The sequence below is a fragment of the Homo sapiens genome, chromosome 6, assembly GCF_000001405.40.
Source record: "Homo sapiens chromosome 6, GRCh38.p14 Primary Assembly".
Taxonomy (NCBI): Eukaryota; Metazoa; Chordata; class Mammalia; order Primates; family Hominidae; genus Homo; species Homo sapiens.
The window spans coordinates 150153073-150180273 of NC_000006.12; the positions used below are offsets into that span (position 1 = coordinate 150153073).

At 43.7% G+C, this 27201-nt stretch overlaps 1 protein-coding gene and 1 non-coding gene across 2 annotated transcripts in view, besides 3 other annotated features; both read left to right on the forward strand.

The window, feature by feature from the left end:
- PPP1R14C (protein phosphatase 1 regulatory inhibitor subunit 14C) overlaps positions 1–27201 on the forward strand; it is a 107349-nt gene that overhangs the window by 10029 nt on the left and 70119 nt on the right. The gene's annotated exons all lie outside the window — the stretch shown is intronic.
- LOC124901527 (small nucleolar RNA U13) lies at positions 11512–11614 on the forward strand. Its single transcript, XR_007059958.1, has one exon. It is a non-coding gene; the product is annotated as a small nucleolar RNA U13 (small nucleolar RNA).
- Positions 15298–15347: a silencer, noted in NCBI's record as "silent region_17676". NCBI's record gives its function as "represses an Ori minimal core promoter by ATAC-STARR-seq in GM12878 lymphoblastoid cells {active_cell/tissue: GM12878}" and the evidence as "EXISTENCE:reporter gene assay evidence [ECO:0000049][PMID:35858748]".
- Positions 15998–17197: an enhancer, noted in NCBI's record as "CDK7 strongly-dependent group 2 enhancer chr6:150490206-150491405 (GRCh37/hg19 assembly coordinates)". NCBI's record gives its function as "activates an origin of replication core promoter dependent on BRD2, BRD4, P300/CBP, MED14 and CDK7 cofactors, with strong dependence on CDK7, by STARR-seq in HCT116 cells {active_cell/tissue: HCT116}" and the evidence as "EXISTENCE:reporter gene assay evidence [ECO:0000049][PMID:35650434]".
- Positions 22475–25393: an enhancer, noted in NCBI's record as "VISTA enhancer hs1922". NCBI's record gives its function as "enhancer in: heart[11/13]" and the evidence as "EXISTENCE:transgenic organism evidence [ECO:0001131][PMID:17130149]".

Genomic DNA, 27201 nt, shown 5'->3' on the forward strand with positions numbered 1-27201 from the left:
GGAGGAGGATGCTGGCACCCTGATCTCAGACCTCCAGCCTCTAGAACTGTGAGACAGAAATGCTTGTTGTTGAGCCACTCAGTCTGTGCTATTTATTTGACTGTCAGTGAGTGACAGTGGCTGCATCTTCTGGTTACATGATGTGCATTTCAGAAATGTGTTCCCAAAATTAAGCATATGAATATAATTTGGCTCTGCCTGTATTGAAAACCTGCTCTTTCACTGTCAACTTGAAGTTATGGTTCTTTTTCCTGGTTATAAATTATAACTATGGAGTCCTTTGAACCTCTGAACTAAAAGGAAGTTGTGGCGTAAGGCACAGATGTATGGGGTAATGAAAGTCTTCAAAGAAAGGGATCACGAGTTACTGCCATTCTCTGTAATTTTAAGTCTTCAGCATGTCCAAGAATTTTGTTTGCACAGGAATTGCTTATTTCTATGTGAGTAGAAATGCTTGTGCAAGGAAGTAGCAAGTGCTTTTCCATCTGTGGATAAGACTTGGAGCAACAGGCTCACACAAGTCTTCACAGAACAAGAATGAAAGCCTGGATTCCTGCCTCTGCTTAAAAGGTTGGGGCCAATACATTCTCACTAGGTTTTTCTTAGTCAGCACTGGCATTTTGGAAATCTGTTCCACTGAGTAAAAGCTTAGAAAAAAGAAGACCAGAACGTGGGTGGGTCTCTAAATCATCACTTTATGGTTGAGGAATAAAGTGATTAAGAAACAGCTTCTTCATTTTGAAAGAATCCACGGGGAAATCTGTGGAAGGAGCTGTGGAGGGCTGGAATATTCATTCACTCACTCATTCATTTATTTGTTCAACAGATAACATAGGGCAGGAAAGGGGTTATAAAAAGCTTCACCCTTTTAAACTGTGTAAGGGAAAAAGTAGAAAAAGTAAAGGAACGAACACTTCACATTATGGCAGAAGAATGGAGGAGACCATATGATTGAAAGCTCTTTGGGGCAGGGACTCTGTCCTGTTCACAGTTGTGTTAGTATATTCCACACAGTTATTTCGTACATAGTGGCTGCATATTTCTTTACTCAAAGTCTGTGTTCAGGAAAGGATATGATAAATTCACTGACATTAGATTGCAAATGACTAAAAACAACTTACTTATCTTTCATTTTAATAGGAAGTCAGATCTTAAGTAAGAGAAAGTAATCTCTTAAGGGCTGGGCTTCAGGAATGAATAAGCCAGGGCAGGATGTATGCTTTGTGGCTGTGGGAACCTTGCTGGCACCTATGAGATTAATTCCTGTCGGCTGTTCCCAGTGTGAGGTAGTGGGAATGGCCCTTGCCTGTGAGCTCCGTCCTAGTCGGGCCACCGCTGACCAGCTAGATGAGCTTGGCAAGTCATTTTCACCAACAGAGTTTGTTTTCAGGTTTTCTTTCTTGATTTGAAAAAAAATGAGGGAGATCTGGGACTTTCTAGCTCTAACCTTTAGATGTTCTATGCTAAAGCCAGGGCTGCACTGGTGAAAGTGAGATGTATCAAAGAAAGGGTGATATTGAAAGCAGGAGAAATAGAAGTGTCTTCCCCTTCAAGGCAAACCTGAGACAAGGATTAGACTAGTTCACCAAAGGGCCATCGAATTTGCAGAGCTAATTTCCTGTAGCTGAAGTGGGAGCGTATCCATCCTGCACTGGGCATGATGTCTTGTGTGAGTGGCTTGGGTAGGGACTAGAACGTAAGGATTAGATTAATAACTTTTTTTTTTAAATCATCTTTTCCTCCTCTGAAACCTCTCCTTAACTATTGGCTTTCAAGTTAAGTTTGGAATCTGACAGCACAGACACTCACAGCCACCATAGCTGCTTTTTCTTTGCATTTAATTGGGTTAACTTTTAAGAAATGGCATGTTTGACTTAAGATTTTTAGGCATATAACCTATAATATTGGCTTTGGGGGGTGCTTTTCTGTTCTTATTATTTGTCCTTTATCTTGGCACCTCATAATTAACTAATGGTGGTATTTATTTTAACTTGAGGGAGGTTCATTTTGAGATATGAAATGAGCATCTGAGAGGGAAAATCACAGCAGCTTTCAGAAGTGAAATTTAACAAGGTGAAATGTACAAATTAGCTTGAATAAGAGCATGACTGAATCTATACTAAGCAAATTACTTTCTGTTGGGGAGTTTATTCCTGGAATGTCTCTTTATAGTTAGTTTTAGGACTAATAGGATGGGATAACAAGAAAAACTTAAGATTTTTTATGGACAGTTCTGGCAGGAAGTGAAAAGCAGAACTTATTCTTTGTAATATTTATTTATTTGGTATAATGATAGAATCATAAAGCACCATCAGATAATCCCATTTGACCCACATAAATACTCAGTGATATAAGTAGCTACTCCATTTTAAAATGAGAAAACGGGGAGGCTCCAAGAGTCTTAGTAACATGCTCAAGTTTAAACTGCCAGTAACAAGAGGAAGACTTGCTTCCTGGAAACTGTGAACATCAGTTGCACCATTTCCCCCCAGATACCTTCCATGTATTCTAGCATGTTTGGCCAATACACTGAGCAAATCTTTTTTGTTTGATTTACTTGATACATTTTCAAATATGCTTCATCTTAGTTGAACAGTTTACAGGATTCTGTTATTTCTCAAGTGAACCATTTACAGGAGTCAGCCATTTCTTAAGAAAAATGCAAATCCTGGCTGGGCACGGTGGCTCACACCTGTAATCCCAGCACTTTGGGAGGCTGAGGCGGGTGGATCACTTGAGGTCAGGAGTTTGAGACCAGCCTGAACAACATGGTAAGACCCCGTCTCTATTTAAAATACAAAAATTAGCCAGGTGTGATGGTGGGCACCTGTAATCCCAGCTACTCAGGAGGCTGAGGCAAGAGAATCGCTTGAACCTGGGAGGCAGAGACCGTAGTGAGCCAAGATCGCACCATTGCACTCCAGCCTGGGTGACAGAGTGAGACTCTGTCTCAAAAAAAAAAAAAAAAAAAAAAAAAAAAGAAAGAAAGAAAAAGAAAAATTCAAATCCATTATCTCTGAAGTAGACACCCCAGTGAGTGAGCTACTTCTTTCTTTCTTTGCCAGGTTTGCATGAGCCGTTGGTCATGGAGTCCTTGCACTCTTGGTCTATCTATTTAGATGGAATTGACTCCATGCTCAATCTCTTTTGAGGTTAAAAGTTAGAAACTCACTTTAAATAAGGCAAGGGATACAGAGTATATATTTTATCTTACATATTTGAAAGCAGCAGATATTATCATTGACATGGTAGAAGTAATGCTTTTTCTAAATACAATGTAAAAAACTATTAATTACTTGGTTTGCTTATGCTAAATGATGTTTTCACTCAAGTCCTTAGCTACTGCCGCCAATCATCTGTTAATATTTTTCTCTTATATTTGTATGTCAATAGCGCACACATTGGTAAAGCCATTTCATTCATTTCTGCTAATGTTAATGGAATTAAATCTGTTTCAAGCCAGGTAGGTGAGGTGTTGAGTTTTCAGATTGGCAGAGATAGCTTTTCTGTTTGGTTCTTATGAGCTAATACTCTACATAACAATTCAAATTAGTCAACTGGTTTTTCTCATGTTTGTGTTGGGGTGTGGCAGCTCTCTGACAAGTCAAAAGAAAATGAGTAATTGATTTGGTGCTAAAACATGATTATGCTTGCTATAATGAAAGCACCCTAGAAATATTAAAACTAAAAAACAACACGTACTATCTCTGTTAGACAAGTGCCTTTTGTTATGTTAAGATATTCCATTTCTTCTTCATGCGAGATGGTTCAGCATTTACTAATCTTATACCAGAAGCAGTTTACATGGAGAGATATTTAGATAATGAAAACTTGTCTGTACTTAGGTAAATGGAAAGGTTGTCACCTGAACTAGCCAGAGACTCCAAAGCATTTAGCTGCCAGTCATGCCTTAAACCTTGGGAACATCCCATGTTAGACTTAGATTAAGAACCCTTTTGGGGTTTCAAAGAGGTGACGGGCTGCATTCAATGGTGAATGATCCCAAGGTTGAGTTAACTCATCACTCTGAAGAAGAACAAAATGAGGAATTTACTTAGTTAACTACTGACACCTTACTATAAACTCTGAAGGAAGGCAAAGAATGAGATACAGATAATGTATAAAATATTTAGTAAAATGAAATTCTCATGTCAGCTGTTAAAACCACAACTCCGAGGATGTGAGAGAGTGTGGTCTATACAGGAGGGGTGGAGTGGGTGTGGACCTCAGCCTTCTGCTCTAGGAATCCATGCTTGTGAATGTCTTCCTAACTCTAGCCCCACTTTACAAAATCAAAACAAACAGAAAAGTTTCTAAGTATGGCTTCTTACTGGTGGTGGGAAACAGTTTGTCTCATTATCTCATTTCAGAGATGCCTACTGGTTATACTCACAGGTTCTTTTCACATCCTTTATGCCCTGATTGAGAGGATGTCTTAGTCCATTTTGTGTTGCTGTAGCAGAATACCTGAGACTGGGTGATTTATCAAGAAAGAGCCTTATTTGGCTCATGATTCTGGAGGCTGGGGAGTCCCAGAAGCATGGCACTGCATCCGTTGGCTTCTGGGCTTCTAGGGAGAATCTCATGCCATGTCATAACATGATGGAAGGTCAAAGGGGAAGTGGACACAGGTGAAGGGTCAAAACAGACCCTGCCCTGGAGGGAACTAACCTGTCACCTCCAGAATGAATCCAGTCTCACAAGAGCAAGAACTCACTCACTGTAGTGAGAACTGCACCAAGACACCTAGGCCCAGAGGGCGGAGTCTCTGTGACCCAAGCTCTTCCCATTAAGTTCCACCTCTTAAAGTTTCCACCTCCCAACATTGCTGCACTGGGAATTAAGGTTCCAACGTGCGTTTCGATGGGGACACTCAAACCATAGCAGAGACATTGCCTTCTAAGATAGACCCTCCCACCTTCCTGGGCTGGGGGAGCTGGCTTGGTCTATCTAGAAGGATGAGCAGGCTGCCCACTACCTACCTTTATTAAGAGTGATTTCAGTCATCATACTTGGCTAACTTTAATTTCCACTTTTAAATTATCTAATCCTTTCAGAGAAATTTTGGGGATTAATAAATATGAAAAACCATCTCCCCAAAAGCTCAGAATATTTATGAAAGTATTATTAGCAACATCTACTATGCTTTTGCTATAACTAATTCTGCCTTGTTAATCTAGTATTCAAATTAAAGGTTGTTCTTTGACCCAATGGGGGGCAGAGGCTTATGAGATTTTTTTTTATTATGGAATAATTTTGGTGGAGTTTCTACCTTGATTGCAAATTTGGTGACACAGCAGGTTTTATGACTATAGAATAATTTAATCAACACTCCAGAATCTAATCAACACTCCAGAATGGAAAATCTTGTTGGGTTGCTTCAAGAGAATTACCTTTCTGCAATGGGAGCTCTATCACATTTGAGTTAAGTGATAATAGATAACATGTATTCTAGGTAAAACTCTTTTTTCATAGGGTATCTTTTATATGTACCTAGAAAAGAGATTTGGATGATACATGATAACTATCAGTAGTGCTTTTTAGTATCATTATGGGTAATTTATTTTGTTTATCTGTTTTGTGCAATGCACATGTATTTCTCCTATAAGAGAATAACTTCAAAGTTGTTTTTTAGAAGGGGTGGGCATGAGTATCCCACTGTTTTATTGTCATGGGTAAGAAAGGGGCACAAGCCCTCTCCTGCCACAGGGCTTTACAATGTTTGGAATAGCTCAATTGGTGTTTTTTCCATCTTCTTTTTGAGGAAGATGGGCTTTAAATTTTTAAAAAATTATAAATAAGGAAAAAAAAGCCAGTAGATTTGTTCATATTAGCTTCTTTATATTTTCAGAGGAAGCAGCCATAACACTTTGGATAGAACACATGGCACTTTGGATAGAACACGTAACACTTTGGAAGACTCCTTTGGTGTCTTCATTTTTGGGGGGGCAGGAAAGACAGTCTCTGAGGATGAGGATGGTACCACTACCCACAGGACGGAAGGAAAGGTAAAAGGAAGATTGAATCACTCTTCAACTTCCTTCTGGAGCCCAGCCCTTTCCACCTGCTCAGGGGCTGACTTCTCCGGTATCATCAGCCATTCCTTTGTTTCAAGAGTCATGGACCGTATACTGAAGATCTGTGCAGTTTAGGATATGTAAATTATATCTCAGTAAAGTATTAGAACACAAATACACACAAAAGCCTTTCTGTCTTTCTCTTCCTCTCTTCAGCCAGATTTGACAGAGAGATTGTCTATATCCTTTGATCGCATTTTGTCAACTTCTGTGCCCCTCTTAGCCACTGCTGTGTGGCTTGTCCTTCTTTTCCACCCAGAAGGCTCATGACCTCCATGTTGCTAAATTCCAAGTGCCCATTCCAGTTTTTATCTTGTGTGCTCTCGGCTTTCTAAGCCACTCTATCAATTACCCAACCATCAGCCTTCCCAGCATCCGTCCATCCTTCTGTCAGCCAGTGCGCTGTCCTTCTGTCCCTCCTTCCAATATCCACCCACCAGTCCCTTCGTCTGTCTCTGCCAGGCATTCTTTTTTTTTTTTTTTAAACAAATAAGCTTTATGTTTTAGATGGTTTTAGATTTACAGAAAAATTGCGAAGACAGAACACTATTGCCATATACTCTGCAACAGGTTTTACCTGTTAGCAACATATGTTAGAATTATACATTTGTCACAATGAATGAACCAATATTGATACATTATTATTCTCTAAAGTCCATACTTTGTTCGGATTCTTTAGTTTTTGCCTAGAGTCCTTTTTCTGTTCCAGGATCCCATCTGGGACACCACATTGCATTTACCTGGTATGTCTCCTTAGACTCCCTTGGCTAGGCCAGTTTCTCAGCCTTCCTTTGTTTTTGATGACCTTGACAGTATTGTGGAGTACTTTTTAGGTATTTTGTAGAATGTCCCTCACATGGCATTTGTCGGATGTTTTTCTCATGATTAGACTGCGTTTATGGGTTTGAGGGAGGAAGACCCAAAAGGTGAAGAAACACTTTTATCACATTCTGTGAAGGTACATCCTGTCAACGTGGCTTATTACTGTTGATATTCACCTTGAGCACCTGGCTGAGATACTGTCTGTCAGGCTTCTCCACTGTACAGCTACTCCCTCCCTTTCCACACTATATTCTTTGGAAGAAAATCACTATGTGTAGCTCATTCTTTTTTTTTTTTTTTTTTTTTTTTTTGAGACGGAGTCTTGCTCTGTCGCCCAGGCTGGAGTGCAGTGGCGCGATCTCGGCTCACTGCAAGCTCCACCTCCTGGGTTCACGCCATTCTCCTGCTTCAGCCTCCCGAGTAGCTGGGACTGCAGGTGCCGACCACCACACCCAGCTAATTTTTTTTTTTTTTTGTATTTTTAGTAGAGATGGGGTTTCACCGTGTTAGCGAGGATGGTCTCGATCTCCTGACCTCATGATCCACCCGCCTCGGCCTCCCAAAGTGCTGGGATTACAGACGTGAGCCACCGCGCCCAGTAGCTCATTCTTAAGTAATGGGAAGTTATGTTCTGCCTCATTGTGTAGCTACATAATTTATATGGAATTCTTTTGCGTGGGAGATTTGTCTCTTCTTCCTCATTGGTTTATTTAGTCTGCTTTATTTATGTCAGTATGGTTCACGTATATTTATTGTTTGTCTTGGATTATAATTCAATTATTACTTTATTTCATGGCCCATATTATTCCAGCTTTGGCTATTGCGAGCTGTTTCGATTGGTTCCTGTGTTCTTTGACATACCCCCATGATCGTGTGTGTGTATGTATTTAATACTACTTTACTTTCTAGCACTACAAAATACTCTAGGCTTATCTTGTATGTTTCCTGCCCCAGATTCAGAGTCAGCCATTTCTCCAAGGAACGCTGATTCCTTTTATTAGAGAATGGTATTAGAAACCAAGATATGGCCGGGTGCGGTGGCTCATGCCTGTAATCCCAGCACTTTGGGATGCCAAGGAGGGCAGATCGCCTGAGGTCAGGAGTTCGAGATCAGCCTGGCCAACATGGTGAAACCCCATCTCTACTAAAAATACAAAAATTAGCCAGACGTGGTGGCATGCTCCTGTAATCCCAGCTACTCGGGAGGCTGAGACAGGAGAATCGCTTGAACCCAGGAGGCAGAGGTTGCAGTGAGCCGAGATCATGCCATTGCACTCCAGCCTGGGTGACAGAGCAAGACTGTTTAAAAAAAAAAGACGAAGAAAAAAGAAAAGAAAAGAAACCAAGATAAGGGATGCCAAGTGTACTTGTTGCTACTGAAATGTAATTGTTTCTAAGATCTCTCACATGACAGCAAGAAAATATATGTGTGTATTCTTATTGGCGTATACATATCTACAAATATTTCCATTTGTAACCATCAGCATCTATATCAAGCTAAACATCAGCTCATTTGATGTCTTCGATTCTAATCCATTACTACATGGGTTGCACTAGCCCCCTTTCTTTGCCTGTCTTTAAACTCCTACTCCAACAGAGACAAACCTGTGGTTCCCACCATCCGTATCCATTCCCTTAATTGTTCAGTTGTAGTATATATGTACAGCAATATCAGAATTGTTAACTCAATCCCTATGGGAAACAACTTTATCAACTAGAAGATGGCGCTTATATGCACTCCTTTTACATTTGATTTTAACAGACTCTACTTATTTCTAGTTACTTAGGTCAGTACCCTTTTCCCCTATCCCCTTCAGTGAGGTTGTTGCATACATTTGTAATATAGATAGATTGTTTTGTCACATTCTGCATTCCATCCTGGGATCCCCCAATCTCCTAAATGACTTTTTAAATTTGCTTACATTGTACATTAAGATTCATTCTTTGTGTAGTCAGTCCTATGGACTTTAACAAATGCAGAGTGTCACGTATCCACCCTTGCAGTATCATACAGAACAGTTGCACCCCCTATAAATATCTCCTGTGCTTTATCCATTTACCCCCCTCCGTTTATTTTCTTTTCTTTTTTCTTTTTTTTTTTTGAGACGGAGTCTTGGTTTGTCACCCAGGCTGGGTGCAGTGGTGTGATCTGAGCTCACTGCAACCTCTGCCTCCTGGGTTCAAGTGATTCTTCTGCCTCAGCCTCCCGAGCAGCTGGGACTACAGGCGTGCGCCTCAACATCCAGCTAATTTTTGTATTTTTAGTAGAGACGGGGTTTCGCCATGTTGGCCAGCCTGATCTCGAACTCCTGACCTCAGGTGATCTGCCCACCTGGGCCTCCCAAAGTGCTGGGATTATAGGCGTGAGCCACCGTGCCAGGCCAACCTCTGCCATTTCTTCCTGAACCACTGATCTCTTTCCTATTGCTATCGTTTTGCCTTTTCCAGTATGTCATATAATTGAAATCATACAGTATACAGCATTTTCAGACTAACTTCTTTCACTACACAATATACATTTAAGATTCATCCGTGGTTTTTTTGTGACTTGATAGCTCCATCTTTTTATGGCTGAATAAGATGCCATTGTACAAATGTACCACAGTTTATCCACTTGGCTCTTGAAGGACATCTTGGTTGCTTCAGTTTTTGATGATTATGAGAAAGCCTGGTATAAACACGTGTGGGTGGACTTTTGTTTGGATATAAATTTGAAATTAGTGAGGTCAAAATGCCACATGCACTTTTAGGTGCTAGGGACACAGGTGCTTAGGATACAACAGCGAAAGAGTCCCTGTGCTCTTAAAAACAAATGCAAATGAATAAATCAGAATGGCTTCAGCTCACGAGTAGTGCTAGGAAAAAAATAAAGCTAATAGGATAATGAGTGAGAGACTGTGGCCAGGTTAGTGGGGCCAGGAAGGGCTTCTTTGAGGAAGTTCATTGCATTTGTATCTGAGCCTGCATGATGAGAGATGGCACCAGCGGTGTGCAAAGCCCTGGGGGGACATACTGGGCTCAGTTAATGCAAACACCCTCTGGCAGGATGAATCTTGGCATGGCCAAGGGACTAGGAACAGAAAGTACTGTGAGGTAAAGACATGAATGAGAGTATTTTCTTAAAAACTTTTTATTGTAGGCCAGGCGCGGTGGCTCATACCTGTAATCCCAGCACTTTGGGAGGCCGAGGCAGGCGGATCACGAGGTCAGGAGATCGAGACCATCCTGGCTAACATGGTGAAACCCCGTTTCTACTAAAAGTACAAAAAATTAGCCGGGCATGGTGGCGGGCGCCTGTAGTCCCAGCTACTCGGGAGGCTGAGGCAGGAGAATGGCGTGAACCTGGGAGGCGGAGATTGCAGTGAGCGGAGATCGCACCACTGCACTCCAGCCTGGGCGACAGAGCAAGACTCCGTCTCAAAAACAACAACAACAACAAAAAACTTTTTATTGTAGTATAACATACAAAGTACACAAAACCCAAGTGTAAGTGCACAGTTGATGAATTTTGTCAAATTGAACCCACCCACCTTCCAGATCAGGAAATGGAATAGTGCCAGCACTGCAGGGGTCCCTCGTGTGTGCTTATCCCATTATCAGCCCCCTTCCCTCCCTCCAAGGTCATCTGATTAATTTTACCTTCTTAAAAGCTTTTATGTCTGTTTTTTTGTTGTTGTTGTTGTTCAACATTAGATGTGTGAGATACACCCACATTGTTGCATGTCATTTGAGGTTTGATCATTTCAGTTGCCACATAGTACTCCATGTGTGAATACACCACAGTTGTTTTTTTATCGATTCTACTTTTGATGGACATTTGGGAGGCCTTCAGTTTTGAGCTATTCTGAATTGAGCTCCCGAGAATATTATTGCGTATGTCTTTTGGTGAACCTATGTCTGCATTTCTGTTGGCTTATATACAGAGTGGCAAAATTGCTGGCTTATAGAGTACGTGTATATTCAGCATTGCTAGGTACTGTCAGATGATTTCTTAAGTAATTGCACCAATCTACATGCCCACTGCACTATATGAAAGTTCTGATTGTTTCCCATCCTTACCTACGCTTGTTATTTTCTGACTTTTTCATTTAGCCGTCTGTTATGTAATATAGTGGTGTTGCATTATGGTTCGAATTTACATTTACCTGATGGCTAGTCAAGTCCAGCCCCTTTTCATATGTTTACTGGCCTTTGGATATCCTCTTTGTGAAGTGCTTGTTCAATTCTTTTGCCCATTTCAAAGAGAAAAAACAACAACTTTGGGTTTGGGTTGTCTTTTATATATCCTGGACATTGATCTCTTACAGTCTAGATATGAGTCCTTTGTCAGAAATATGTGTCCCACTTGGTGAACTGCCTTTTTCACTCTCTGAATGGTGACTTTTGAGGCACAGAAGTTCTTAATCTTAATATTTTCCAATTTGTCAGCTTTTTCCTTTATATTTGGTACATTTTCAACCTATTTAAGAAAACTTTGTCTGCTACAAGGTCATGAAAATGTTTTTCTGTGTTACCTTTTTGATGCTTCATTATTTTACCTTTTATATATAGATCTGTAATCCATCTGAAATTCATTTTTATGTGTGGTATAATGTAGAGATTACGATTCATGATCCTTTTGTAGTTCATAGCATGATGATTGGGTGTTCACATGCATGTGTGAAATGTGCCAGCCTTGAACCTTGTTACAACATTGGCACATGACCCATCTGACCTGAATTTGGAACACCCAGTTGACCCAGCACCATTCATTTAAAGATCATCTTCCCTCACTACACTGTAGTTACAAATAAGGGGATACCGTAGATTGAATGTTTATATCCCCCTAAAATTTATATGTTGGAATCCTAAGCCCCAGTATTATACTATTGGGAGAGGGGCCTTTCGGAGGTGATTATGTCCTGAGGGTGGAGCACTCATGAATGGGATTAGTGCCCTTATAAAAGACACAAGAGAGCTCTCTTTCTCTGCACTCCATCATGGGAGGACACATTGAGAAGTTAGCCATCTGCAAACCAGGAAGCTGGCTCTCACCAGACATAGGATCTGTGTGGTACCTTGATGAACTTCCCAGCTTCCAGAATGGTGAGAAATATATTTCTGTTGTTTAAACCACCAGTCTGTGGTAGTCTGTTAAAGCAGCCCAAACTGACTAAGACAGGAGACCTTGTATGTTTGGCTCTATATAGATTCTAGTGAGTATGTTCTAATATTAGGTAGAGCCTTTCTGTCTTGCTCACTATACTCCATCTTCATTTCCTGGCAGTGGCCCCTGTGCTGTAAATATTCAATAAATATCAGCTGGTTGGTGGACAGGTCTGAACTTGCCTTTAGGCAAGAGTTTTAAAATATCTGGGCTCCCAGTCCAAGAAAAGATACTCAGATTTTGTGTTAGAGAAGACTTGACTTGCCTAGTTAATTACATTTCTTCTCTAGGCCCAAATATGTTTCTGGACCAGTTCTGCTGGCTAAAGTCCTTGGGGAAGGCTGGTTGACCTCAGGTTGTCCAGTTGGCAGTAATGAATCTATTTAACCATCCAGCCAGTCATGCAATAAATATCTTTTATGGGCCTACTATGTGGCAGGCATAAAGTAGAACTAAAATAATAGGATTATTTCCAGAGTTTCTATTTTTAATTTTAGAACATTTGTTGTTTCTTTCTTTACAAGTTAAACACTCAGTGCAAGGAGGGTAATTTTGAGAATTTTCCTCTATTTTGAGGGTAGCTTTATTGTTCTGTTATAGTTATTTAAAATTTTTGTGTGTGACAGCCTAGATAAACAGGCAACAGGCCTAAGAATTAGAGCTTTTATGTTGCTATCAGACTATTTTAAAACAAACAAAACCCTACAAAGAAAAAGAGATGAAAATAAATGTGAAGTGCAGTATTTCACACAGTGAATTCAGCGAGAAGTTAAGTACTTTTCTCATTTTCAAAATTTAGTGCCAGACCAAAGACCAAGTTTAGAAAAATAGAGGAATGCATTTTCAGGAGGTTGGTGTGGACTCTGGATGTGCCAGTCAGTGCCAGTACACCAGATCGCATTGTGAGTGGGCCACGTGCCATATACCATGTGTCACATGCCACATACCGCTCTTCTTCTTCTTTTTTTTTTTTTTGAGACGGAGTCTGAGTCTCCCTCTGTTGTCCAGGCTGGGGTGCAGTGGCGCTATCTCGGCTCACTGCAAGCTCCGCCTCCCGGATTCATGCCATTCTCCTGCCTCAGCCTCCTGAGTAGCTGGGATTACAGGCGCCCGCTACCACGCCCGGCTAATTTTTTGTATTTTTAGTAGAGATGGGGTTTCACCATGTTAGCCAGGATGGTCTCGATCTCCTGACCTCATGATCTACCCGCCTCGGCCTCCCAAAGTGCTGGGATTACAGGCCTGAGCCACCGCGCCCAGCCAAATGCTGCTCTTCTTGGTAACTGCCCTCTGGGGAACAAAAGAGCCCTAGAGGCTTCTCCCATGGTACCATCTTGCTTGGTGACACCAGGGGCTGGGGTTATGTCCCAGGGTCTCTTTGTTCCTCCTTTCCTCTGGGGATATGAACAAAGAGGGGCAGGGGACAAGCAGATCCCCAAACTGGGGCCAGCTCCAGGCGGTAGCTGTTGGAAAATGGGGCTGCCTCCGCCAGCACTTATTGTCCACCACTGCCCATGTCTGGTGGCTGCAGTTTGAGCTGCTCTGAAGCCTTTTGAGGCCACTGGGAGAGGCAGCCTCCTAGCAGGCCTGCCTCAGGAGGAGGAAGCAGATTGCTAAGGGAACAGGGTGGCTGGTGCTTGTGAATGTTACTTCCGTGATGGGACTGTGATTCTCGTTCTTATTTAGTTAATATCATGTCCAATTTCATTTTCAGCTTGTCTCAGGTGAATATTTTATATATTTAGTGAAACCTCACCAACCTTGAAGTCAGGAATTTTGTAACTCCAGTCATTTGGAACCGAGTGAAGGAACCTAAAGGAAAGCAGAAAGAGGCCAGGCGCGGTGGCTCACGTCTGTAATCCTAGCACTTTGGGAGGCCAAGGCGGGTGAATCCCTTGAGGTTAGAAGTTCAAAAACAGCCTGGCCAACATGGTGAAACCTCATCTCTACTAAAAATACAAACATTAGGCCGGGCGCGGTGGCTCACGCCTGTAATCCCAGCACTTTGGGAGGCCGAGGCGGGCGGATCACTTGAGGTCAGGAGTTTGAGACCAGCCTGGCCAACATGGCAAACCCCATCTCTACTAAAAATACAAAAAAATTAGCTGGGCATGGTGGCACACACCTGTAATCCCAGCTACTCAGGAGGCTGAGGCAGGAGAATTGCTTGAACCCAGGAGGCAGAGGTTGAGGTGAGCCGAGATCGCACCACTGCACTCCAGCCTGGGTGACAGAGCAAGACTCCGTCTCGGGGGGGAAAAAAACAAAAAGCAGAAAGAGTAGCTTTGAGACCCTAAAGAGATACGATATTTTGGGGTATGCTGGGGTATGTTCTTGATTTATTACAGAGGTCCTTGGGCTTCCATGTAGAGCTTCTGTGCTCTTACTTTAGCCACATTTCTAACAAGTTTGGTTTTCTGCTTTTTTAGTTCACTAGATTTAGAAGCAACAAACTAGGCTGCTAGGTATACGTTCTGGGAGAACATCTAGAAGTGACAGCTGACAGCCTGACAGTAAGGGAGGAGACAGAGCATCTATAAAAAGCTCGGAAGACCAGAGCTGTCTTATATACTGTATAAGGCAGAGAGCTCTGAGCCTGTTGCAGCCTGGAGCGTGTCCCGAGAGGCAGTGTGGCAGGACGCCTGGCCACAGGAGTGACCTGAGCCATTCAGACCCCAAAGGCAGGCACACGAGGAATCCCTTAGAGAGATTTGAAGAAAAAGAGTTGAATACTAGTTATCTGAAATAATTTACATATATAGAACCCTTGTTTTCCTTGGGATACTAAACACATAAAAGAACTCCCCCTTTCTCTCCATGTCTCCGTTCTCCCCTTCTCTCCTCCCCTCTTTCTCTCCTTCTCTCCTCCCCTCTTCCTCTCCCCCTTGCTTTCCTCCCACCCTTTCTGCGGCCCCTCCCCTCCCGACTCTCCTCTCCCCCACTCCCCTCCCACCTTGCTCTCTCCCTTTCCGTTTTCACTTCCCCTTTTACTTCCCTCCCCCACTCCTTCTCCCTAACACAATACAGCGTCCCTTTTTTTTTTTTTTTTTTTTGTCTTTGAGGTTCACATATATGCAGTGAGTTGCTGGTGAAAGTTTAACAACTGGCTCTCATGGGAGAAAAAAATCCCTTGATTCGGCCGGGCGCGGTGGCTCACGCCTGTAATCCCAGCACTTTGGGAGGCCGAGGCGGGCAGATCACGAGCTCAGGAGATCGAGACCATCCTGGCTAACATGGTGAAACCCCGTCTCTACTAAAAATACAGATTACCTGGGCGTAGTGGCGGGCGCCTGTAGTCCCAGCTACTTGGGAGGCTGAGGCAGGAGAATGGCGTGAACCCGGGAGGCGGAGCTTGCAGTGAGCCGAGATAGCGCCACTACACTCCAGCCTGGGCGAAAGAGCGAGACTCCCGTCTCAACAAAACAAAACAAAACAAAACAAAACAAAAAAACCCTTGATTCACAGCAGCCCAGTTTCCTTAGTGTAAGTCCTCGCCATGGTTGATTTCAGGTGACCATTGTGAAGTCCCTGGGGAGGAGCAGGGACAAGTACTTCCTCCATACAGATGCAGGAGATGGAAGTAACCTTAAGAGCGTAAGAATAGGCAGATAACACCAAATAATCAGAAAGTCATGTTTTGAGTATTTACAACTTTATTATATAATTACTCTTCTTATACAATTATATAATTTAATTTAAAAATTTAGTAACATTTAACTCAATGTATCAAAAATATTATCATTTTAACATATCGATAGAAAATTATTATTATTATTTGAGACAGATTCTCACTCTGTAGCCCAAGCTGGAGTGCAGTGGTGCGATCTTGGCTCACTGCAACATCTGCCTCCCAGGCTCAAGTCATTGTCCTGCCTCAGCCTCCCAAGTAGCTGGGACTATCGGCACGCGCCACCACACCCAGCTAATTTTTTGTACTTTAGTAGAAATGGGGTTTCACCATGTTGCCCAGGGTGGTCTCGAACTCCTGAGCTCAGGCGATCCACCCATCGTGGCCTCCCAAAGTGCTGGGATTACAGGCGTGAGCCACCGTGCCCAGCCTCAATATAAAATTATCAATAAGATATTTTACACTCCTTAAAAATATCTAACCTTCCATTATAGTTAGAGGTGATCCTATGACAAATTTTGACCAGTGAAATGAATTCACTGCATGGAGTTTTTGAATAATAATTTAATGGTAACTGATTCTGTTGTCATGGGAAACTTGTCTTTTTCCTTACTTCCTGAAATGTAAGTAGAAGAGGAAAAAAAATTAAAAATAGAAACAATAAAATAAGAACTTACATATGACGTCTTTGAACTGTTGAACAAATGCCAATATCCAACTATGTTGGACTTCTCTGTATATGGCAGAAAAAAAATCATATTTAGTCTCCAAACTGCTGTTAAAAGGTTGTCGTTGTTGTTAGATGCTGCTAAACCCAATGGTTGAGTAAAAGAGAAGGTGTCAAAAGCAGAGACCTGCATAAGGTGAAGGCACAGGACAAGTGAATTGTGAATGAAGAAAATTCTAGGCTGATGAAATCGAACATGAAAAGGCCGAAGCGGGAAGAAGCTGAAAGTAGAATGAACCAAGGTTTACTAATTACCAATACCATGCAACAAACTCCCCCACATCTTAGTGGCTTAAGAAATGACTATCATTTATTTTGCTTGCAAATCTGATTTGTGCATCATTTGTTGGGGGTGACTCATCTCTGCCTCATGGGGAATTAATTGATGTGGCAAACTTAGGGCCTGAGTATGTATTTTCAACATGACTTACTCTGCAAACTGTTGGGGCCATGGGCCATTGTGTCAGCTCTTCAGCATACAGGCTTTTCCATGTGCTATTTCGGTTTCCTTGCTGTATGGGGACTGGGCTCTGGAGTAAACATCTCAATACGATCAGGAAGAAGTTGTATTGCTTTTAATGACTTTGCCTTGGAGGTCACATAGTATTGCTTCTGTTCTAATCACAGTTCTAACAAGGCTTCAAGGAAAAGGAACATAGATTTTACCTTCTGATGGGAGGAAAGTCAAGTGAGATCACCTTGTGAGGAAGGGAAGTGGAATGGGAAATATTGTTGAAGCCAGTTTTGGAAAATACAATCTGCCACACAAGAAAGAATAAGAAAATATGGGTGATGAGAACTGAATTCAACACATACTCATTACACTTTTGTCATGTGCTAGTTACTTTTTTTTTTTTTTTCTTTTTTTGAGATGGAGTCTCACTCTGTCTCCCAGGCTGGAGTGCAGTGGCGCGATCTTGGCTCACTGCAAGCTCTGCCTCCCAGGTTCACGCCATTCTTCTGCCTCAGGCTCCTGAGTAGCTGGACTACAGGCGACTGCCACCATGCCTGGCTAATTTTTTTGTATTTTTAGTAGAGATGGGGTTTCAATGTGTTAGCCAGGATGGTCTTGATCTCCTGACCTCGTGATCCGCCCGCCTCGGCCTCCCAAAGTGCTGGAATTACAGGCGTGAGCCACTGCGCCCGGCTGCTAGTTACCTTTTAAGCACCCGTGATATCGAAGTAGACCAAAGAGACAAAAATCACTTCCCTTCCTTGTGGGTTTTACATTCTAGGGAAATGAGAGAGAAGAGTGATACGTGATGAGGTTAGAAGAAACAGAGCCTTGTAGGTTACAGTACGACTCTTTTTTTTTTTTTTTTAATGGTAAGGAATTTGAATTTTGTTCCTGAGTATGATAGCTTTTATGCAGGGAAGTGATATGGTCTTATTATTTTTTATGACTATAAAATTAACTTTTATTTAACATTTTTTTACAAAATACATTTAAAAAATTTTAAATCTGTTTTTTAGAGCAGTTTTAGATTCACAGTAAAATTGAGAGGAAGGTACCTTTCCTATGTACTCTCTGCCCAGTCCCCCAACACAGCCTCCCCACCAACTCCCCCGGCGTGACCCTCCATTGGAGCGGTACATTGGTCACAATCGATGAACCTACGTTGACACACCATTATCACCCAAAGTGCATAGTTTACATGAGGGTCCACTCAAGGTGCTGTACATTCCATGGGTTTGGACAAATGTTTAATGACATGTACCCACCATGGTAGTTTACAGAGGAGTTCCACTGACCTGAACATTCTCTCGTTATTGTGTTTGACAGCTGGCTTATAAAATTCCTGAAAATTTAACAGTGGTCTCTAGTGAGCTGGTACAAGCCAGCTCCATTCAGCACACCATTGTACATACCTAATATCTTATAGTTGAGGGATTCTCTGTAATTTTGTTTGAGCATAACAACAATCTAACTCTTTTATAAGGAGAATCCCAGAAGCTCACATTTAAAAGAGACCCGAGAGATCTTCTGTCCTGACCTTTCTGCCTGACACACTGATTCCATCTATAGCATGGTAAAAGGATCTTTCAGGGCCACTGCTGCTCAGATTTCTCACGTCTCCACACAGAATCTGTGATTGACGCACACATTTGAAAGTTAAGTGATTTTCTTCAGGCTGCAAACTGGGACTGGAATTTCGTCTCTTTCTCTTGTTCTTCTCTAATTTTATTCTCATGCAAACAGCCTGATTTCTGATTTCATAATTTAGCACAAGACATATTTTATTTAAGTAGGGATGAATTTAAAGATCACAGAACCATGTCATTAAGTGAAATCAACAAATGTTTATCAGCATTCAGAATTTCTCCATTTCTTTTTTTCTTTTTTCTTTTTTTTGAGACGGAGTCTTGCTCTCACCCAGGCTGGAGTGCAGTGGTGCGGTCTTGGCTCACCGCAACCTCTGCCTCCCGGGTTCAAATGGTTCTCCTGCCTCAGCCTCCTGAGTAGCTGGGATTACAGGTTCCCGCCACCATGCCCTGCTCTTTTTTTTTGTATTTTTAGTAGAGACGGGGTTTGCCACATTGGCCAGGCTGTTCTCAAACTCCTGACCTCAAGTGATCCGCCCGCCTTGGCCTCCCAAAGTGCTGGGATTACAGGTGTGAGCCACTGCACCCGGCCCAGAGTCTCTCCCTTTCTTTGCTGAAGAATTTATGTTATGTATTCATCACCTATCTATAAAGTGGTTATAGCTGGGAACCCTTTGCAGATGGGTAATTCATCATTAGACGGGTTATAGATAATCTCTCTATTCATTATATGGCATTGACATTCAGAACTAATGGTTAAAGTCACTCTAGATGGGAAATATTAGATTCCTTCCCTAGGCCAGGGAGACTAGACAGCTTTTTAGAAGATCTCTGTAACCCCCAGCATTGGTGCTTTTATGACAAGGTGAAGCTCTTTTGTAAAGCTGTGTTTTTGTGTGTGTGTGTTAATGCACCAGACCATTCCTGGCCTACTGTGCAAGGCCCTGTGGTGCAGGTGGGGAGGCGGGTAGAGATAGAGAGCGAGGTACAGCTGAGTGCAGATCCCCAGCTCTGAGCATCACTGGGTGTGTGACTTACTCAATTCATCATTTAGCTATTGAGAGCTGATGTTAGGCATATTCTTTCTTTTCTTATGAAGCCTTGGTTTATTGTGGGCCTCAGAATAGAAGCTTCTTGGCCTGAAAATGAAGTTCTTTGGAAGTGCCATCTGACACTTCTCCTGGTGGGCAGAGTTGCTGAAACTGGAAGCAGGGGGTTTGAGGGGTGCTGTAACTGATGTGGGGAGACCGACTGGGGACAAAGAATGAGGATAGTAACAGGAGATGACTCCTCCTCCCCAGGAGGCCAGATGCATCCAGAGGCCTCACATGGCTGGATGTAGGTTACAAGGTCGCTCTCACAGTCAAGGTGTGAGCAAGGCCTTGGTCTTCCCATCAGCCATGCTGCCTTATAAGCCACTCAGTCAACTCCCCATCCACCTCCAAACTGCTGCTTGCCTGGCCTCCCTCTTCATTGATGATGTGATGAGCCACCCAAATAGACCTGGAGTTTTTTTTGTGTTTTGAAATAATTTTAATTTACAGATTTGCAAAGAAAGCACAGAGTTTTCCCCATGTACCCTTCACCCAGCTTCCTCCAATGTTGACATTTTCCTGTGCATTTCTCGACACTAAGAAATCAGCAATGGTACAAGGTAGCTAATGACAATCTTTATTGAGATCTCCCCATTTTTTCCACGAATGCCCTGTCTCTTCTAGCATGTCTTCTAGGAAACCACATTGCATGAGTGGAGTTGGTTTTCAGCTCCTCTCATTTTCTCCCACACTTGGCACCACCTAATCTGGTCTCTTATCCTTACCCTTTTTTTTTTCCATCCCTATGGTGAGTGCCCGGGCCCAGCCTTTTCCACTCATGTGGAGCCTTTGGCACCCTCTCCTGGACTCCCTTCCCCAGATTCTCCCACCTTGCTGTATACATGCTGCTCGGAGAGGCCACTGTAAAAATGACTCTTCTCAGGGGGCTCAGATCTCTCCCTGAATGAAGTCTGAGCTCACTACAGCCCTCCTTTGTAACTTTCCAACTTGGTCTTGCACTACTTTCCAATTTCAGCCTTCTTCTGCAGACAGGTGGGTCTCTTGGCAGACAGATGAGTCTCTTTAACTCTGTTTAATACCTGAGGATGCCTGGTTCTCACTGTGTTTTCCTAACGTGCTTTATCTTGTTCAGTCTTCAGAATAATGCCGATGCCAGCCAGCGCTAGGAATGGAGGCCCGCAGAGGCTTATGGAACTGGCCCATGGTCACTCAGCCAGGACATGGGAGCCCAAGACTGCAGACCTGAGGCTCCTAAGCACCCCAATCTCTCATCTCAACTTCAGGATAGCCTCGTGAGTTCTGCTCACGCCATTCCCAGGATCCCCCATCCTCAAAGCTTCCTCTGTCTTAGTCCTGCCCATCCTTCAAAGCCCAACTTGAACCCCGTCTCCATGAGGTCTTTTGTTTTAGGCTGAAATCAATTTGCTTATTTGGCACCTCTCCCTCCCCCCCACCCCCGAGATTTGTTAAGGTATTATTGAAAAATAATAATTATATATACTTGCAGTGTACAGACATGATGCTTTGATAGGTGCATACGTTGTGAAATGATTAAATCAAGCTAATTAGCATATTCATCACCTCACATACTTACCATTTTCTAAATTGTGAGAACACTTACTAACTTACCCATACTTCTTGGTATTTATAAATCAATTACAAAGAAATGCTATGAGTCTCCCTCTGTCGCCCAGGCTGGAGTGCAGTGGTGCGATCTCGGCTCACTGCAAGCTCTGCCTCCTGGGTTCACACCATTCTCCTGCCTCAGCCTCCTGAGTAGCTGGGACTACCGGTGCCCCCCACCACTCCCAGGTAATCTGTATTTTTAGTAGAGATGGGGTTTCACCGTGTTAGCCAGGATGGTCTCGATCTCCTGACCTTGTGATCCGCCCACCTTGGCCTCCCAAAGTGCTGGGATTACAGGCGTGAGCCACCACGCCTGGCCGTGTGTGCATTTTTATCTTCTCAATTCGACTGTAAGCTCCTAGAGGGTAGGAACATTGGCTTATAATATATTCTGTCCTCTGGAAGGCCTGGCAGATATTCAGTGTTCAACGGTGTGTTTTAAATAAATATAATTTCCTGGAATATCATTTAATAATAAGTAGTGAAAGCTGGGCGCAGTGGCTCACGCCTGTAATCCCAGCACTTTGGGAGGTGGAGGTGGACGGATCACAAGGTCAGGAGTTCGAGACCAGCCTGGCCAATACGGTGAAACGCCATCTCTACTGAAAATACACAAAAAATTAGCTGGTCATGGTGTCGCACGCCTGTAATCCCAGCTACTCAGGAAGCTGAGACAGGAGAATTGCTTGAACCCGGGAGGCGGAGGTTGCGGTGAGCTGAGATCATGCCACTGCACTGCAGCCTGGGCGACCGAGGGAGATTCTGTCTCAAAAAAAAAAAAAAAAGTAGTGAAGAGGATGTTTCTTTTTTGCTCTCATATTTGAAACATATGATCAATTGGCTTGAACATTGTTTATGATACCACTATGACATTTAATCCGTGTTGACCAAATAATAAAACCAGAAACAACAATAACAGTAGTAGCTCACATAGTGCTTATTATGTGCTGGGCTGTTCTAAGGCTTGCCCATGTTAACTCCTTTCATCCTCTTAATAAACCTGTGAGGTGGATGCTATTTCTGGTCCCATTGTAGCGATGGAACCAGGCAGGAAGAAGTCCAGTAACTTGCTGAGAGCCGTGGAGAAGGTGGTGGAGTTGGAAGGGGCCCCCACTCTGAGCTGGGTCTCTTGGATCTGCTTCAGTGGGATCTCTTAGCAGAGGTCACACATGGACCCAGTGCTTCCCTCTTTTTCTGTGTAAAATCACAGTGGTCATTTACTAAGGATGCAGAGCTCTGATATGTTGAATATGTTTTTGGGAAAGTGAATCTGTTAATATTGTGAGTCCTTATAAATATTTAACTCTCTGCTCTTTATGACTAGTTAGTAATTTCCTTTGTAAAATATTACTTCAACAATAAAAGTGAACTCTTGAGCATGGGGCTGGTGAGGGCATTTCCAAATGCAAGGAAGTTACTTTGACATCTCCCTGGTGGTGCCCAGGTACAGACGGTGGGTAATTACCAGAACTGTTGCTTTGTATGATTTCCCTAGTCAAAGGCTTAATCATTTGACAGTATCTAACCCAGTGTTATTGGATAACATAACCCATGGCTCTTGACTGTGCTAGGTATGAGGCTGGTGTTTTCTCAGCAGAACCAGTTAAAATAAAACCTAGATGTCATATCCCAATCTGGCCTGTTTGGGAAAATGCAGTTTGAACCACAAGCGCAATCTACCCGTGGTGTTTTATAACACTGTTTGCTTGGCCAGTCTTCTTCAGCAGGCCCTGAATATCTTGTACTTCTCTCCCTGGTAACAGGATCTCTAAACCGGCCACACCTGTCATAAGTGACTCTACTAAAGGGGAATTCAGAATTCCACTGGGGATACTTAGAACAGTGAGCTGATGTGATCTTGTGTTATTTTCCCTTTCTTGGGGGTTATCCCTTGATTAATTACCTGTCTGTTGGAGAGAGAGTGTTCTTATAATTGGGGTGAACAGGAGGGCTCTAGTGGGCACCCCGGGGTGAGGGAGTGTGGGGCATTGCAGTAGAACCTAGGCAGCGCTTGGAGCCAGCCCTACTGGCTATCTGGGCAGGCCAGCCCTGGAAGGATTCCCATCTTCTCAACGGGAGTGCCCGTGGCTTCCATGAGTTACCAAGCTGGGAATTGCTTCTAACAATCGAGTTGGAGGCGGGGTGCCCGTGGTACAATCTGTGTCTGGCTTCCTTGGCAACTACCTCTTGTCTTGTTTCCTGCTTCCAGTCAATGCCTTTAGGATTAGGCTGAACTTTCCCCTTCATTGTATGTCTCAGCGTCAAAGAGAGGACAGAGAAGGAACATCTTGTTGCTGTCTTACTTGAAATACCAGATAAGTTCAGGGTTCAATAAAGGTGAGACCTTCCTTAGCTTATTTGAAGGAACTGCTGTTAGTCTAATTCATGATCTGTGTCTTTCTACTGCTATTTTGGTGGATTTGTGGATTGGCGTCCCTGGTCCAGAAGAGTTTTATTATCATCCTCAAATAGTCCACATTCAAACAAATCCCTTTTGGATCACAGAAGTGAGATTTTTTTCCTTTAAGCTGTTATAATGAGTGAGGCCCAGGTAAGGGCAGTGTCCTGCCGTGGCTGCAGGTGTCTGGGTTTGCAGAGGGCCTGAAGGAGTGGCTTCAAACAGGACAATCCTGTTCATCGTGTGGGAGACCCTGTGGGCAAGGAGATGGGTTTTATACGGATGAGGCCACTCAAGGAAGAGGGAGGAGAGATCACGAGGAAGGGCTAGTTATTTAGGGCCGGTCCCACCCTCCAGTGATCCGGCCTCCCCCTGTGTGTCTCTCCCTACCTTCTGGCTGCCTGTGTCCTAACTCCACGTCCTGTTTGCTGCCTTCCCCATACCAGAAATCCTAATATCCACGGCTCAGCCTGGCCCTGGTTCCTGAGAGATGTCTTGCTGTGTAGCTCTGTGGTGGATGTTGTAGACAGTGAACGGCTCTCTGGGCACAATTCAGCCAGTCTCTGTTGTCAGTGGAAGCAGCACAGATCTTCCCTGCACCGTGTGGCCATTTGAAAACAGGGGTGCACTTGACAACTCCAAAAAAACTAAGGTAGACTGTCTTTACCTGTTGTTTCTGTGAAAGGATCTGGGGAGAAGAGAGGGAAAAAATGAAGTCATAGTTTCAGAGCCATATATGGGCCTCACTTAATGGAGTGAGTGTTGGGGCCAGATTTATATTGGGAAGGAAACTATCTTGGTAGATAAGAAGTGAAAATTCTTGCTGGTGTGACCAAAAGGCTGGGACCTGTCTGTTGACAGCAGAGAAGGCAAGCGAAGGGTCATGTGTAGCACGTTCTCAGGCCTGGCCTTGGGGCCTGTGGAGCTTCCATGCAGATCCGGTGGTCACAGATAGCCTTACTGTTCCTTTCCCCCCTCAGTCCCTCTCTGTCTCTCTCTCCCCGGTAGGGTTCAACATACACATATCTGTGGGTGCAAATACATGAGCAGCTCTGAGTCAGTCTTCTTTCCCTCATTGTTGTCCCCAAAGTCCCACAGTCTTTTGTCCTTCTCGGAGACCAGTTGGATTCAGCACCCTGTGAGGCCTGGGGTTCAACTCAGGACAGCTGTCGGGGAGGCAGGGAGTGGGACCTGGGCCGCTTTCTCTGAGCCAGTCCGGACTGCAGCAGAACCCCAGTGACTGTCCCAACAAGAGGCCGGGACAGACTCATCTCCTGAGGCCCCGTCGTCAGGCAAGAAAGATGGGCTTCCCTGTGGCATGTGTGTTTTCCCTCATCACTGTGTGGTTAGCCCCAGCGGGGATATAAATATTGTCCAGATGCTCACTGGTTAATGTTTTACCTCGCACAAGAATGTGCTGTTCCCAGGCAGCTGTGTGTCATAGTTACAGTCTCCTAGAGGGCTTGTGCGTGTGTCTCCTGGAGCCGCGGCTGGCCCTCACCCCCCATGCAGCCTCCGCGAGGCCTTTTGTGCAGAGCCTTGCCCTTGTGTGTGCCCTCCTACTCCATCTGTATCTTGTCGTCAGTTGCTGGCGCCACCTCAGCAGGGTTTACTGTGACCTTTCTTGGGCCCATCTGGGAACAGTGGTAGTAGGTCTGGACCTAGGGGTCCAGTGGGTCTTTCCCACAACCTAGCCTGTGTAAGAGGCTGGAGGAAACCCTGAATGCAGGCAGAGAAGTCTGTCACAGAGGCCCCTGGGGACAGTGGACGCTGGCTCTGTGGGCCGACCAAGGAGCGAGACCAGCTGGAGCATGTCAGGGGATGGTGGGTGTGATTGGAGAGGAGGGCGGTCACAGCAGGTGAGGTTGTGTCCCTCTCCTAATATGCAGGGCCAGCCTTTGAAGTTCATTTCTTCAGTTCAGGTAAAGTCAATACGATTGATTTCTAGACCTATAGACCTATGTGAAGTATCTCAACCAAAGAGATGTTTATCTCCAACCTAAGCATAGCTCTATTTTATTTCTCCTTTTGTTTTTTGGAATCATTAAAGATAAAACTACTCCCAGCCATTACAACTGTCATGATGACATAAAATACTGCATCAGAAATAGTAACCAGGGTCTTTATACTGTTGTTTATTTCATTACTTGGAATGAAAATGACAATCTAAGGTGAAGAGATGGACTTGGTTTGTCTGAAATAGGGAAACATCTAGGTGTAGATTTTCAGATCTCACAGGGGACAAATTTCTTCATCTGCAGAGGAGGAAATAAACAGGATCTGTGTAGCTCTTGGATGACCAGCTCAATACATGGATGCTGGAGGTGAAGGGAGCTCTCTAGGGAAAGTTTGATGGCTGCATTTTTTTGCTTTCTATACTCTCCCTGTCACTACGAATATGGAAGTGTTTTTCGAAGCCTGTTCTACTTCCTAAAACACCTTATAATGCTTTTCCTTTTAGGAGGAAGGGAGGCCTGGAACCAACCTGGGAAGGCACTGGGGAGACCCAGGGAGGAAGGAGACTGTGGTCGCCAAGCATGGTGGCTCATACCTGTAGTCCCAGCACTTTGGGAGGCCAAGCTAGGGGCGCTGCTTGAGCCCAGGAGTTCAGTACCAGCTGGGACAACATAGCAAGACCCTATCTCTATACAAAATAAAAATTTGCCAGGTGTGGTGGTGCTAGCTACTCAGGAGGCTGAGGCAGGAGGTTTGCTGGAATACAAGGGTTCAAGGCTGCGATGAGCTATAATTGCACCACTGCACTCCAGCCTGGGCAGCAGAGTGAGACACCAACAGAAAGAAAGAGAGAAAGAGAGAGAGAGAGAAAGAAAGGAGGGAGGGAGGGAGGGAGGGTCGGCCATGAAGACTTTATCTATATAGCGAGGGTAACAGACAGCCCAGGTGTAGAGAGTCCAGATAAGTGTCTCGATTTTTCCACGTTGGCCTATGTTTTTAAATGGAAACGAACTCTGCAGACCTGCCCTTCATTAGAATCTGAATCCCCAAACATCTTTCTCATGTTTAATCTCTGCCATTGGTTCATGGGCTGTTAAAAAAAAAAAGGGGATAATATCCATGAAGGCTCTCTTACACAGGTGACATAAATAACTTTTTTTTCCAAATACAGCTGTGACAAAACTGAGCAATTATATCCATGCATAGAATGAGTGAGAAAGACAGGAGTTTGAGTCCCAACTCTGCCACATTACTGACTGTGTGATCTTAGGCAAGTTACTTAGACTCTGTTTTTTGGTTTTTCTCATTTGTAAGGTGTGTTTTGGGGAAACAGATAACAAAAGGGATGTTGTAAGAATTAACTGAGATGGGCCAGGCACGGTGGCTCCGGCCTATAATTCCAGCTGTTTGGGAGGCCGAGGGGGATAGATCACCTGAGGTCAGGAGTTTGAGACCAGCCTGGCCAACATGACAAGACCCTGTCTCTACCAAAACCACAAAAATTAGCCGGGAGTGGTGGCATGTGCCTGTAATCCCAGCTACTCAGGAAGCTGAGGCGTGAGAATCACTTGAACCTGGGATCTGAAGGTTGCAGTGAGCCGAGATTGTGCCACTGCACCCCAGCCTGGGTGACAGAGTGAGACTCCATTTCAAAAAACAAACAAACAAGAAAGAATTAACTGAGATGATTCATGCAGTCAAGCATTAGCATAGTGTCTGGTAG